This window comes from Homo sapiens, chromosome 1 (assembly GCF_000001405.40).
Source record: "Homo sapiens chromosome 1, GRCh38.p14 Primary Assembly".
NCBI lineage: Eukaryota > Metazoa > Chordata > Mammalia > Primates > Hominidae > Homo > Homo sapiens.
Window position 1 is genome coordinate 183,859,459 of NC_000001.11, and position 13,848 is coordinate 183,873,306.

The window sequence follows — 13,848 nt, forward strand, 5'->3', positions numbered from 1 at the left end:
TCTCCAGGAAAATGTTATAGCATTTTGTAACTGTCAAGTGGGGCAGAAATATCAGGTACTCTTTTGCTGTTAATGTTGCCTTAAGTGTCAGGGACTTAGTATGGAGATATGTGGACAATGAAAGAACAAGGAAGGTGCAGTGTCCTTCACAGCAAAGGCCTAGAGGTGAGGAGGGCAGCTTTTGTTGGGTCTTCTAGCTTTTTCTAGTCAGGGAAAAATGGCCTAGAGAACTAACCCTCATAAATGGAAAGCACAGTATAGGGTTCTCGGCTCAATCTTCTTGGCCCCTTCCTTTCCTGCAAGAGAACAAGGAGTTTTTGCCTTGTTGTTTTTGACCTTTGTCTTTCCCCTTGAATAAGTAACTTCACAGTGGTAACAAGACCTTTCCAAGGTAGGCTTGGTGGCTGTGACCCAGTTCTCAGGTCAGACTTGGCGGAGAGGTGCCTGCCATGGAGGATATTATTCAGAGTAATTAAAACCACACTTCTTGCTGATCTGTGGAAACAGTCCAAAGTCTTCACTAAGGTTTTCACCAGACATCTGCAGGCTATTTCACCCATGTCGTTCTCCTGAGTCAAGGTCAGCTTCTGAACATTTTTTTCATACCTGACCTGTGTTCTTTTGGGTCAGTTACAGAAAAATGCCTAAGATGTTCTGAGGCCAGCATTTATTAGAAAAGATTCCCAGGAGTCCTTGAGTCAGCAGCTTCATGTGAGGTCTCTCTTTCCTTTACTTCTTCCTTTCCGTTCTTTCACTATCCCCAATAAAGTACCTCCTTCCCAACTCTTCCCGCCCCAGCCTTTCTTTTATTCTTGGTAGAAGAGGGTGTGTATTAATTCATTGAGCAAATATTTATTGTCTACTTTGTGCAGGCTCTATTCCAGGCTCAGTAGAAGTAGCAGTAAGCAAAATAGAAGAGTAAAACCAGAGTCCTTGCCACAGCCTACCTACCAGGCCCTCAGCATCTGTCCTTGTCATCTCCATGCCTCCTTTTCTATTCACGCTCACTCAGCTCTGCCCCTCATTGGCCTCTTAATGTTTCTTAGAAACATCCTTCTGCTACTCTTCCAAGGCCTTTGCATTGGCTCTTTGGACTGCTTAGAGGCTCTTTCCCTGGAGATCTGCAGGGCCCACTTCCTCACTTTCTGGAGAGTTTACTTAGTTTTCACATTCACATTGGGCCTTCCCCAAATACCCAACCTCTGGCCCTCCATTATACCAGGTCACCCTGACCTGCTTTATTTCTCTCCATTGCACTTTTCACTCTCTGACTTAGTATATATTAACTAATTATTGTTGTCTGTCTCCTCCGCACTACCATGTATACTTCATGAAAACAGAGACTTTGGTTTGTTTGCTGCTGTATCCTCAATGTCTAGAATAGTACCTGTACGTAGTCCTTAGTAAATAATCCTCATTGAATGAGGACTAAATGAGTGAAAGAATGAATGATGGAATAAATGAATGAAAGGCTCACCATAGCTTGTATGGTAGGGAGTGATTCAGAGGCTGGTTGCTGAACGCTGACTGTCATGGCTGAAATCCCTGCTGCACGTATTAGTTGTATCTTTGAGGGCATGTTACTTAATTTAAGCCTTCTGGGCCTCATTTTTCTCATCTGTAGAATAGGAATAAAAATAACTTCACTCTATAGAATTATAGGAGAACTAAACCAAGCCAGCATGTAAAGCCCTTAGCACAGTACCTGGCATATAGTAAGTTCTCAATAATTATTAACTGCTGTTATTATTGGATCATTTGCCAGAATCAAGCAGAGCCTGAGAGATTCTTCAGGATCACCCGCCTCCTGATCTGGTGTTACTGAGACTTTCCTGTTGGGGAGCAAAGGTTAGCAAGGGCCCCCACTAGAGAGACCGTCCCTGGGTACAACTTTATCTAAGGGTTTCTTTGAACCACAGATACACCTGGTCTTCCCCTTCAAACACATATAAAACACTTCACCTTACCAGATAGGCTACAAAGAATACAGACATCCTCTCTGGAAATAACTGTTTCTGTTTAAATATTTAGCAACCAGTTAAACATTGTACTGGTTTTTTCTTTCCCTTTTCTATTACTTTTTAGGCTGCAGTAAATAATTGCTTAAGGCTGCACTTTAGGAGACATTTGTAAATTTTTCTTTTGCCTTGTGATAACAGAGAAAACCATGTCAAAAGTCATTCTGACAATTTTTATTTTAAGTTTTATGAGTTACCATTTAAAGAAGAGCAGTTGGTCATTGGTAAGCCTTCTTAAGAGGTTGGAGCTTTGATCTTAAATCCTAGGGAGGCTTTGCAGAAATTGGACACGACATCGTTGACAGGTTTGTTGGTAGCTATTCTATGGCCATTAATTAAACATACACACTCATACACACACTTTATTTACTACCCTGGAATAAGTGAATTGAACTTGACTTTGAGTTTTGATGGGAAGCTATGAGAGGGTCCAGGAAAACATCAAAGGAACCTTCTTAATCTAGTAGTACTGACTGTCAAAGGACCTAGCCTGAACATTTAAAGAGTTCTGGATTCCAACACTAGTCTAGTTTCTTTTCTGTAAAGCAGTAATTCTCCTTAATGATAAGAAAGGTGCAGGGATGGCCTGGCATGTTGGCTTATGCCTGTAATCCCAGCACTTTGAGGGGCTAAGACGGGAGGATCACTTGAGCCCAGAAGTTCGAGACCGGCCTGGGCAACAGAGTGAGATCTCGTCTCTACAAAAAATAAAAAAAATTAGCCAGGCATGGTGGCATGCATCTGTGGTCCCAGCTAGTGCCTGTGGTCCCAGCCTCTCAGGAGGCTGAGGTGGGAGGCTTGCTCAAACCTAGAAGGACAAGGCTACAGTGAGCCATGACTGTGCCACTGCATTCCAGTCTGGGCAAGAGAGTGAGACCCTGTTTCAATGGGAAAAGAAAAAAAATTAAGAAAGGTGCAGGGGCAAATAATCATCTCCATCCCAGTCCATTAAGTTCCACAAGGTTACAGGCTCTTTCCTTTTATCTCACTTCTAAAAGACTTCTTTGGAATAGCGTGTATACTTTTGTTTTGCATTTTAATAGTTTTTACCTTTAAGATCTCAACTTTAACATCTTAAAACTTTTTTTCTTTTTAATTGTAGATTTTTGGAATAATCACAGCTATCTTAAAACTTTTATGCTCCTAAGCCCTTAGAAGTGAGGGCTTGATACTTGTAGAAGCATAAATAAGGCCAGATGATGCCTTTGCAGAGGCAAATCTGAACCTAGTAGTTGGGAGGTCCATTACTGCGTCTGCTTCTGAAACCCCAATAGAGCACTAGCAACAGGTAGCTATTGCATGCCTGTTGGGTGCCAGGCACTAAAGAGTTGGGTGCCAGCTCTAAAGAGTAGTGAGCAAAAAGAAAACATCCTGGTATGCTGGAGTTTATTTTCTAATGGACAATTAACACAACAACAAAATGAACTACACAGTATATCAGAAGGTATTAAAAGCCATAGAGAAAAATAAAGGAGGGAAGGGGCTGATGTTACAGTTGGTTTGTATTTTAAATAGGGCAGTCTGGGAAGGCCTCACTGATAAAGTGATACCTGAGCAAAGACCTGAGGAGCTGAGAGAGTGAGCCCTTGGCACAGGTGTGGGAGGAGGCAGCAGCAGGCACAGATTCAGAGGCAGGAGGATGCCCAGTGTGTGGGTGGAGCAGGGAGGAGGCTGGTGAGGCTGGAAAGGGAGTAAGGGCTGAGGAATTGTAGGAGGCGTGGGAGGAGGTCTCTGCAGATCATTCAGGGCCTTGTGAGACACGTAAGACTTTCGCCTTTTCTCAGAGTGAGATGGGAGTCATGGGAGGGTTTCTCCCTTTTTCTTTTTTCTTCTTCTTCTTCTTCCTTTTTTTGTTTTTTGTTTTTTGTTTTTGAGAGACAGCGTCTTGCTATGTGTTGCCCAGGCTAGGCTTGAACTCCTGGGCTCAGGAGATCCTCTTGCTGCAGCCTCTTGAGTAGCTGGGATTGCAGACATGTGCCACCATGCTTGGCTTTTTATGGGAGGGTTTTGAGTGGAGCAGTGACATGATCTGATCTACCTAAAGCAGAATTGCTCTGGCTACTGGGCAGAAGCTGGGGACCATTTAGGTGGCTGTTGTATTGATTTAGGTTACACTTGATTTACACTATCCAAGATAGTGTAGTTGGAGCCAGGGTGGAAGCAATGGAAGTGATGAGAAGTGTTTGGATTCAGGATATATTAGAAGGGCAGAGCAAAAAGGATTTCCTGATGGGTTGGGTGGAGAAGAGTTAGTATGTCTGCAAGATTTGAGCCTCAGCAACTGGATCGTGTGCTCTGCCACACACTCCTTTTTATCCATGGCCCTTATTGGTGTCCAAGTTATTATCAAGCAGTCACTCTGATCCCAATTGAGAAACTGTAGACACTCTGGTAGCCAGGAGAAATACTTCTGTGGTCTTCTGAGCCATTGCTCAGAAGATGCTACCAGGTTAGTTAATGAGAGAGAACTTGGCTCACCAGTATAAGTTACTTAGTCTTTCTTGACACCTTCTCATTACACATTTGGCATCACATTCTGGGGAGGAACTGTGATAGATGTTGGTGCCATCCAAACCTGCACCTCAGCTCTGAGTCTGAAGAATGCAGGAAAAGAGCAGAAGAGTAGGAGGAGCTAAAGCAAAGATAAAGAATAGAGAGATCTGGAAACTTGTAGTACAAACCACTTTGAAAAAAAGACTATCAGGAGCAGTAAAATGTGTATCTTTCCCTGGTGTTTTCCCTTTTTATATCTACCTTTCATAGCTTCCAGTTGAAAGATAAAAAGATGTGATATTTCCACAATAACTGGAGTGGGAATTAATGGACTAACATGGAATGTAACAAAAACAAAGATTAAGTCCCACATTTAGTAATTGAGAGATGGCAAGAGAAGAGTTTATGGATCCTTCTAGTCAGATACATAGAAGATACACTGGCTTTCCAAGATCCCACTCTTGCTTGCACCCACCGTAATCTCTCCTACTTAAATAAACCACCAAGCCTGCTGTGAGAGAGTACGAGGACATAGTTTGCTACGATGTTGGCCAAGTATAGAGCTGAAAAATCTCACCCTGTTTATTTATTAGGAATCTTGTTTTCCATCCTTGCCTTGCTCATGTGGGGCTGAGTAAATCTTAATCTGAGTTCTTATCTCAGGAAGAGCAAAGGGTAGCCCTGGAAGCCTTCTAAATAGCAGGTGCAGGACAGAATGAAGAGGAAAAGAGAGGGTGGAGACCAGTGGAAAATATCTTTGAGAGGCCAAGAAATCCATAAGGCTGATGAGCTAGAGAAAGGAGCAGGTGGATGGGTGAGCTGGTGCCTAAGGGCGCAAACTGGAACCTACCGGGATGGGATGATAGGGACACCAGATGGACTGGCGTTGGGTCAAACCAGATGGTGGGCTTTTATTTTTAAAAGGATTTGTAAGTCCTAGGAACAAGGAACCATAAGGGTACTGGGCCTTTAATCCCATTAGTAGAAAACAAAAGTGTGCTCTTTAAAAATGTAAACTCATCAATTATAGAATTTATCAAAACTTTGGGACAGACTACTCACTTGTGAAACCCCAAGGAATCTCTGGATTCTGTATTGATGGAAGGAGAAACTGAAGAAATAGTCTAGGCATTATAAGTTAATTAAAGACTCCTCCTTAATAATTTAAAGTGCGTTTACTAAGTTTACATTCCAAACCAAACAAAATATGATATATTTGTATGAAATAGGCTGGCTCACATGTGGAGTTGGGAGAACAGCTAGCAGTGTAAGTAGGGACTGATGAATTATTGAGTAAATTTTGAGTTGGTAATGAGAAAATTTTTAAAATTTAAGCATCTATTGCTTTCCCAAAAATCAGACCCCTGCACCCCACCTCCCCAGTTGCTGTGTCTAGCGCAACCTGGCCTCAGTATAGCTACAGCTGCTCTCATGGTTGCTAAGACATGAGAGCTTCTACTGTAGTCCTTGTCTCTATCCCAGCCTTAATTTTAGGGTCCAGAGCTATTTCCATAATCCCTCTACAACGGACTTATTTTCAAGGAGACCAGACTCTTAAGTGTAGCCTGGAGCCATCAGTTTGTGCTCCCATGTGGCATGAGTGTGGATGCTGTGCCTGCAGAGCCATGTGTCCCTTGCATAGACATGCAGAGGGGTTGGACGGGAGGGTTTGGTGTGCTACAGAGTTCATGAGGAATCTGCCTTCTTCGTATTATGTAATAGCCGATTCTCCTGCTGATAGGAACACTCTAATCTAAAAAAGTCAATAAATGTTAAGTGTTAATATTAAGAGAAAGTTTTAAGTAGTGTGATTAGTTGTTAAATGACTTTTCTGTTTAGAATATGCAGATATATCCATTAAGTAACTATCAATAATACTGCATCATTTTCAATGCTATTTCATAGATATATCTTTCCTTAATTACTTCTGAAAAGTATAACTGTCACTTTGTAGTTGAAGTTGAATAGAGTTGCTTTCCAACACCACTGACTGTTTTTGCTTGCTTGTTCATTATTATCTCTACAGGTATGGAAACCTGACAAGCCCAAACTGTGAAGAAGATGGAAGCCAAAGTTCATCAGAGTCCAAAATGGTGATCAGGAAGTGAGTCTCCCTTTTCTTTGCATTCTAAGCTCTCAGTCAAGACAATATCTTAAAGTAGTTTAGTAGAGTATTTTATTCCTTTGAATGTTGCCATGATTTTTTTTTCCATAGTGCATACAGAGGCTTATTTTTTGATTACCTAACAATATTCATTTATGTATCCAGTGAAAGTATCTTAAGTAACCACTGTCTGCCAGGCATTGTGCTAAGGTATACAAAACAAACAAGTGAAGAAAACAAACGAACAAAATAAACAGTCCCAGCTCATAAAAAGTGTGTATTTTACCAGAAAGAGACAAAGAATACACACAAAAAAGTGAAGAAGAATGAAGCAGGGTCTGAGGGCTGGAGCGTTTGGCTATGTGTAGGGTGCCCGGATTGGGCTGTCTGGTCTGTTGGCATTGGAGCACGCCGAAATGAGGTGTGCCCTGAGCCTTGCAAATAGCCAGGCCGACAGACCACGGGAAAGCCTCTGAGGCAGGAGCGGTGTTTGAGAATCAGCAGGGAATTGCATGTGGCCGGAGCGCGTGCTAGGGGATGAGCACTGTGAGGTGAGCAGGAAGGTGGCCACTCACAAGGGGACTCATAGCAACTTGGGGAAAGATGTTGAATTTGATTCTGAGGAAGATAAGAAGCGCTTAGAAGGTTTTGAGAAGAGTGCTGTGGCCTGACACATCTTAAAAGACCCGCTCTGGCTCTGTGTCCGGAAAGTAGCCTGTGGCAGTGTGGCTGGGGACAAGGGTGGGAGCAGGGAGCCTGGTCAGGACCCTCCCAAGAGTCCAGATGAGGGCTGCTTGTGGTGCGGGCTGAAGCAATAGCAGTGAAGGTGACCAGCCTTTGCAGAGATCTTCCAGGTGTTGGTGGCAGGACAAGCTGGAGTGCATGGGCTGTGTGAGAGAACAAGAGGAGGCCAGATGCTTCCCAGGGTTGCGGTTTGAGCAGCGGAGAGACAGAACCTTGGCTTTATAAAATAAGGAAGATCGAGGGAGCAGGTTTAATGGGGAGTGTGTATCAGAAATTCAGTCACAGACATAATTAGCTCAGTCTAGATTTCAGGGAGAGGCATGGAATGGAGGTATAAATTTGGATGTCTTTAGTTTATACATGGTATTTAAAGCTATGAGACTGAATGTGGCTTCCTGGGAACTAAGGGCAGATAGAGGAGAGAAGATCCAGAGACTGAGCCTGGTTCCTTGGGTGTTTAGAGTTAGGGAAGTAGAGCGTCTGGCAGAGGAGACTGGAACAGAGCAGCTTTGGGGAAGGATGGGGGAGGAGAAAAAAGAAGTTGTTGTGTCCCCAGAAGACAAGCAAAGAAAGGATTTCAGGGAGGGAGTGACCAACTCCCTCCAGTGCTGCCCTAGATCGAGTGTGAGGGTCTGAAAAGTGACTCCTCCTTTGCAGTGCTGCGGTCTTTGGTGACTTGACAAGTGCAGTTTGGTGGATGGAAAGGTGGGCAAGAGAGAATGAAGGGGATGAAGTGGGGACAGTGAGTCTTGTTAGAGGAGGAGCTTTGCTGCAAAGGGGAATAGAGAAATGGATGGAAGATGGGTTTTTTTTTTGGTTGTATATGTGTTTTTTAAAAGATGGAAGATATTTTATGCTGATGAGAATGTCCTATGAGAAAACATCCATGATGCGGGGGTGGGGGCCATTGTAGGGGTGATGTTCCTGAGTAGATGGAATGTGCACCTGGGTGCCTGAAACCACTAGTGTTAAATATTCATTTTGGGGCCAAAAGTCTGGGGGGAATCCTGTGGAATTTTTAACTCCTCAGAAGAGTTACTGATAGACTCCTTTCTTCAGGAGCTAGGGATGTGAAAGTAGAAAGCTGAGTATCTTTTTTAACTCCTGAGTTAGGTTCCATGTAGTTTTACAGTTTTGTTCAGTGGATCATAACTTTCCAGAAAACCAGACATACCAGTGTAGGTATTTGAATGTCAAGCACAAGGTACAGTGGGAGGAACAATTCTTTTGTTTTTAGAAGGGCTTGGGGAAGGCCTCTTGGAGGAGGTTACCTTTGATCTGGGCCCTGAAGCATGGTGAAGATTTTGTTGGTAGAGCCGTCTGGGTATAGGAAACAGTGGGACCAAATTGGGCAAATGCAATTTTCATGGAATTTTGGGGAACAACACAGAATTGGTGTGGCTGCTTCATAGAGTACATGTTAGGTGAGAGGGGAGTCAGTGGAGCTGAAGCTAGATTGGACTTACTTCATGAAGGGCATTAATTTCTTGCAGGAGAGTTTGGACTTTCCCTGGTAAGCAGTGGGCAGTCAGCAGTAATGAATTTTTATAGGAGGGAAACAATATAATCTAAAAGGTGATTTTTCAGAATGGGTTAGACATAGAGCCTTCTCGCTCAAAGTGTGACCGTGGACCTATAGCATCAGCATCTCCTGGGTGGGAGCTTGTGAGAAATGCAGACTCTCAGGCCCCACTCAGACCTAATGGATTAGAATCTGCATTTTAACAAGATTCTCAAGTGATTCCTAAGCACTTTAGAGTTTTGAGAATCATAGGAGTCTATGAAAACTCACTAAGATAATGATTTTTTTAGAAGAACCTTTTTATAATGGACATTTTGGAGCATATACAAAAGGAGAGATACTGTAAGAATTGAGTGTAATCTAGACTTGTGAGCAGATTCAGAAATAGACATGTTATTATACACATATTTTGGAACTCAGTCCAATCTAGAGCTGCCATTCAATTAGCCACCTGAACACTCTGAGGAGAGTCACAATCAAAAATATCCAGAGCTGGCCGGGCGTGGTGGCTCATGCCTGTAATCCCAACACTTTGGGAAGCCCAGGAGGGAAGATCACTTAAGGCAGGAGCTCAAAACCAGCCTGGGCAACGTAGTGGGACTCTGTCTCTACAAAAATTTTTTTAAAAAATTGCTGGATGTGGTGGCACATGCCTGTAGTCCCAGTTACTTGGGAGGCTGAGGCAGGAGGATTGCTTGAGCCTGGGAGGTTGAGGCTGCTGTGAGCCATGATCGTGCCACTGCACTCCAGCCTGGGCAACAGAGTGAGTGAGACCTTGTCTTAAAAGTAAATAATAATAATAAAAAAATCCAGAGCTTCTCTGTCCCATGAGGTGTTTTGAGATAAAATAGATTTTTTGGGAAGTAGCAGTTAAGAAAATTGCACCCTGGGTATGAAGAGTCATGTTCATTCTTTTAAAGTCTCATTCGAATTCGTTGTATACTAGGAACACTAATGTGAATGAAACTCCAAGCTAAGCTGTTTTAAAGAGTTTTAGAGTTTTAAGCATATGAGGGCTTAACAAAGAGCTTCACACAGAACTCCCCTGAGGGGTCCATCCTCTGGGGACAATGGTCCTTTCCTAAAGTCTCACAATAACTTGGTGGAAAGTTCTTGACCCTTTTGCTCAGACTGAGTTGCCTTTTAAAAAATTATGCCTGATGAAAATATGCCACTTTATCTTATAATGGGTCGCTCTGTCCTACAGATTCTGGAATGTTAAAATCCCTTCTTACTGGTGACCTCTTTCTTCCTTCCATTTCCCTTTCTTCTGTCTTTCTCACTGTTTTTTCCCCACATCTTTTATTGTTTTTCATCTCACTTCACTATTATTTTTTGGCTCTCTTTTTCTGAAACTATGCTTCTCCTGATCATTTCTGTGCCTAGATAGGGTCACTGCTTTGTCTTTGTCTTTGTGAGAGGAAATCAGGGAAGCATCTTCTCCCATCTGTATGTAATGTATTGCAAATTTCCTGGTCATCCCAGACCTCTGGCATCTGACTTGCAGCAATGATTGAGGGCTTCCTGATGATCAATAGATGTGTAGGAGGTATGGCAGTGGTTCTCAACAGGGCGATTGTTATCCTCCAGAGGACATTTGCCAATGCCCTACAGACATTTTGGTTGTCTCAACTTGGTGGGGGGAGGCTATTGGCAACTCATGGGTAGAGGCCAGGGATGCTGCTAAACGTCCTAGCATGTGAAAGTTTCTTGTATTGGTTCGAACCCTAAAAGCATGCCAACAGACAACACAAAGCGGTGTGGAGCAACACACTGTTTTAATGAGTGCCTGGGTGCAGGCGGGCTGAGACCTAAAATGACATCAGCCCCAAGTGAGGACGGGACAGGGGCTTTGTAGTCCTCTGTAAACAGGAAGTGTCCCAGTCTGACGTGACTGCTACGTAGTACCTGGACGGCCTCTTTCTCGGTCTTCAGGGGTATGTGTCTTCCGGCCAGGGTAGGTGTCTTCCGGCCAGGGTAGTTGTCTTCCGGCCAGGGTAGGTGTCTTCCGGCCAGGGTAGTTGTCTTCCGGCCAGGGTAGGTGTCTTCCGGCCAGGGTAGTTGTCTTCCGGCCAGGGTAGGTGTCTTCCGGCCAGGGTAGTTGTCTTCCGGCCAGGGTAGGTGTCTTCCGGCCAGGGTAGGTGTCTTCCGGCCAGGGTAGGTGTCTTCTGGCCCGCTGTCTTCCTGCTTCTGCTATCTTGCTGACGCGTGCTGCTGGCGCAAGTGGCCTTGAGCTTTGGGACTGGGCCTGAGAAGGGAGGAGTTACTCATCCCTTCAAGCTTTCGGGCCCGGGGGAGAATCTTTCAGCATGCACAAAGTAACTCTCCTCTACCCCAACAAGGAATGATCTGACCTTAAATGTCAATAGTGCCTAAGAAGCCCTGCTATGTAGTATTGAGGCTCTAGTTCTCAAGTGAAACTGTCTTTATGAATACCTAACATACATAAAAATAGGAGCAGGCCTATTTGGAAATTTCTCTATTTGTGTCTCTTTTTATAAGTAGCTGAATCAAATGTGGAAGTGATTCAGAGGCAGCCACATGGAGAGGGAAAGGCCCTGGTGAAGGAGCCTGGAGAACTCGGATCCTGCTCCTTCTCTATCACTCTGTCACTTACCAGTCATCTGACCTTGGCTTAGTCCCTTCACCTCCCTTTGTTTCAGTTTCTTCACCTGAAAAATGAGTGCTTGGAGTAAATGCTCGCTGAGGTCCTTTTAAGTTCAGTGATGTCTAAGATAAAATTTATTTAGCTTTTTCTTTCTCTCAAAAAATGAATAACAGAAACAGAGATATGGTCCACACAGCATAGTGGACTTTTGAGAGTACGGTACCTTCGACCACTTTTCTCTGTTGGAAAGTGTGTTACCAGTTTTGAAGAGACAGGAAGAAACACATACACAAGCTTTGTTTGTTATTAGTCATGACATCACAGCTGCTCACTGGGGTCATGAATAAAGAGCTGAGCTAAAGCATTGTCTTGTGGGAGTAAGGCAAGGAGTGGCAAAATGCCCATTGTTTTCTTTTGCTATGAATCTGTTCTCTTGTGATTTCAGGTGGAAAACCGACAGCAGGAATCCAATGACATTCAGGAAGTAAACATCCTGTTTAGGGCAGTTGCCTTCAGTTTTGCAGACCTGGGTGGAGGAGGGGATGGGGACAGGGACTCACTATTGGATTTAACCATGAACAGAAAAATGCCCAAATATTGTTTGTTTTCCCGTTTTAGCTGTAAAGCAAAGAGCAACCCTTACATTTTATACAGGCTCCCAAGTACCAAGTAAAATCTTTCCTGTATTTCCAAATATGGATTTAAACCTTTCAGAGGGTAAAAGAACTTTAAAGAAGGAAAATGTGGAAATACAGATGAAGCATTCAAGATGAAAAATTGGTTTCTGATGTCTTGGACCACAACCGACTAGTGTTCTTCATGCATTTAAAAAAGTATCAGATTGTGCAGGGACTCCCACATGCGGAGTACTTGTAATTCCAGTCCAGAGTTCAGGCTTTGCACAATGTCAGGACCCTCTAAAGTTATCTGGCTAAGACAAGAATGTGTTCAGTTGCAAAGGATTCAACTTCCAAGGCTTCTGGATGTTGGAATCTTTGCCTCACGGTGATTTCTGATGGTAGGGCTAGACTGATTATATAAGGTGTGCCACATTTATTTCTAGGATTCCTAAATTGGCCACTATTTATCAATTAGGAAACTCACTTTCTATGACAGAAGAAAACATTTCTGCCTATATTCATTCTACCCGTGCCCTTTTCCTGCTGACATTTTTACACGATAAAATGCTATCTTTTTAAATAATAAAATCTGAACCAGATGGAAAAAGTGAATTGTCTCTAGGGCAGATTTATTATAGTCATTGAATTCAGAAATGAAGAGAATGTAAAGAAGGGATATTAACCATATAGAGCTTTTACAACACGAATCTTCATTCTCTGAATTTTATATGAGATGGCCATATCTCCCTCTCTCTATATATAACTTTATTTAAAGAGATTTAAAACTCCTCAAGAAATGATGCTTTATTTCTTTCCTTTAATGACTATTATAAGGTTGAAATTGTTTCTGTTTTCTTTTCTTTAATTGAATCTCATCAGTTTCCTTCTGGAGTGCCAAGTTTTGTTTTCTCAAACTCTCTACCATAGTACTACTTCAAATTGTTGAAATCGTTCTGCTTTCATTTCCACATATTCAGAAGATACGTATATTGTTCTTGTAATCTTTTCCCAGAAGTTGTAAACAGTGACACCAGATTTCAGTCACTGGTAAAGGATCATGTAAATAGTAGTAATCCAAGACATCGGATACACTTTAAAGAGAAAGGAAAGGAGTTAAAGGAAGTTGGCTGTGTTACATTACTGCCTCAGAAACTTCACAGTGGAAAGTTAAAAAATCTTCCCAGAGAGTTTGCAATCAATATTCATTCCTGCAAATTCAGATGCCCTAAGAAGGCAATTGAAATTAATTGGAGTGATTATAACAAAAATGGGGAAAAGGAGGAGGGGTGAAGAACAGCAAAAACAAGATTTAAAACTCCAATTTAGAAGAATTAAAAGTTATAATGTGAAAGGAATTTTTTTTAAAGTGAAACAAAAGAAATGAAGAAGTGATATGCCATATCGAAGAGTCTGGTATTGTCTTTAAAATATCCCTACAGGACAAAGAAGAATAAAAACCATAGTTTTACAAGTCATTAGCATTCTAAGTCAAGTCTGCATTTTAGGGACATGGGTAGAAAGCCCTGAGCAGAAACTGATGTTCTAATAGTTGAGGAAGAATAAAACAACATTGATAATCAATGGCTCAAAAAGAAGACAGATCAATCATACGAGTATCTCCTAGGGTTTTCTACATTAAAGAATGTCTCTTTTAGAAAGGAAAACAGACATCACAATTAGACTGTATTGTTTGATTCCCTGCACAGCATTGTAAACAAAGAAAATGATGACACTGCCCT

The 13,848-nt window shown here is 42.5% G+C and overlaps 1 protein-coding gene across 13 annotated transcripts in view; it reads left to right on the forward strand.

The window, feature by feature from the left end:
- The window catches only part of RGL1 (ral guanine nucleotide dissociation stimulator like 1), a 292,424-nt gene that overhangs the window by 223,350 nt on the left and 55,226 nt on the right, over positions 1–13,848 (forward strand). For all 13 annotated transcript variants that reach the window (XM_011509339.4, XM_047415682.1, NM_001297669.3 and 10 more), the window contains one exon: positions 6,538–6,615. In XM_011509339.4, the coding sequence (XP_011507641.1) occupies positions 6,538–6,615 (78 nt within the window). The remainder of the gene's footprint in view (positions 1–6,537; positions 6,616–13,848) is intronic.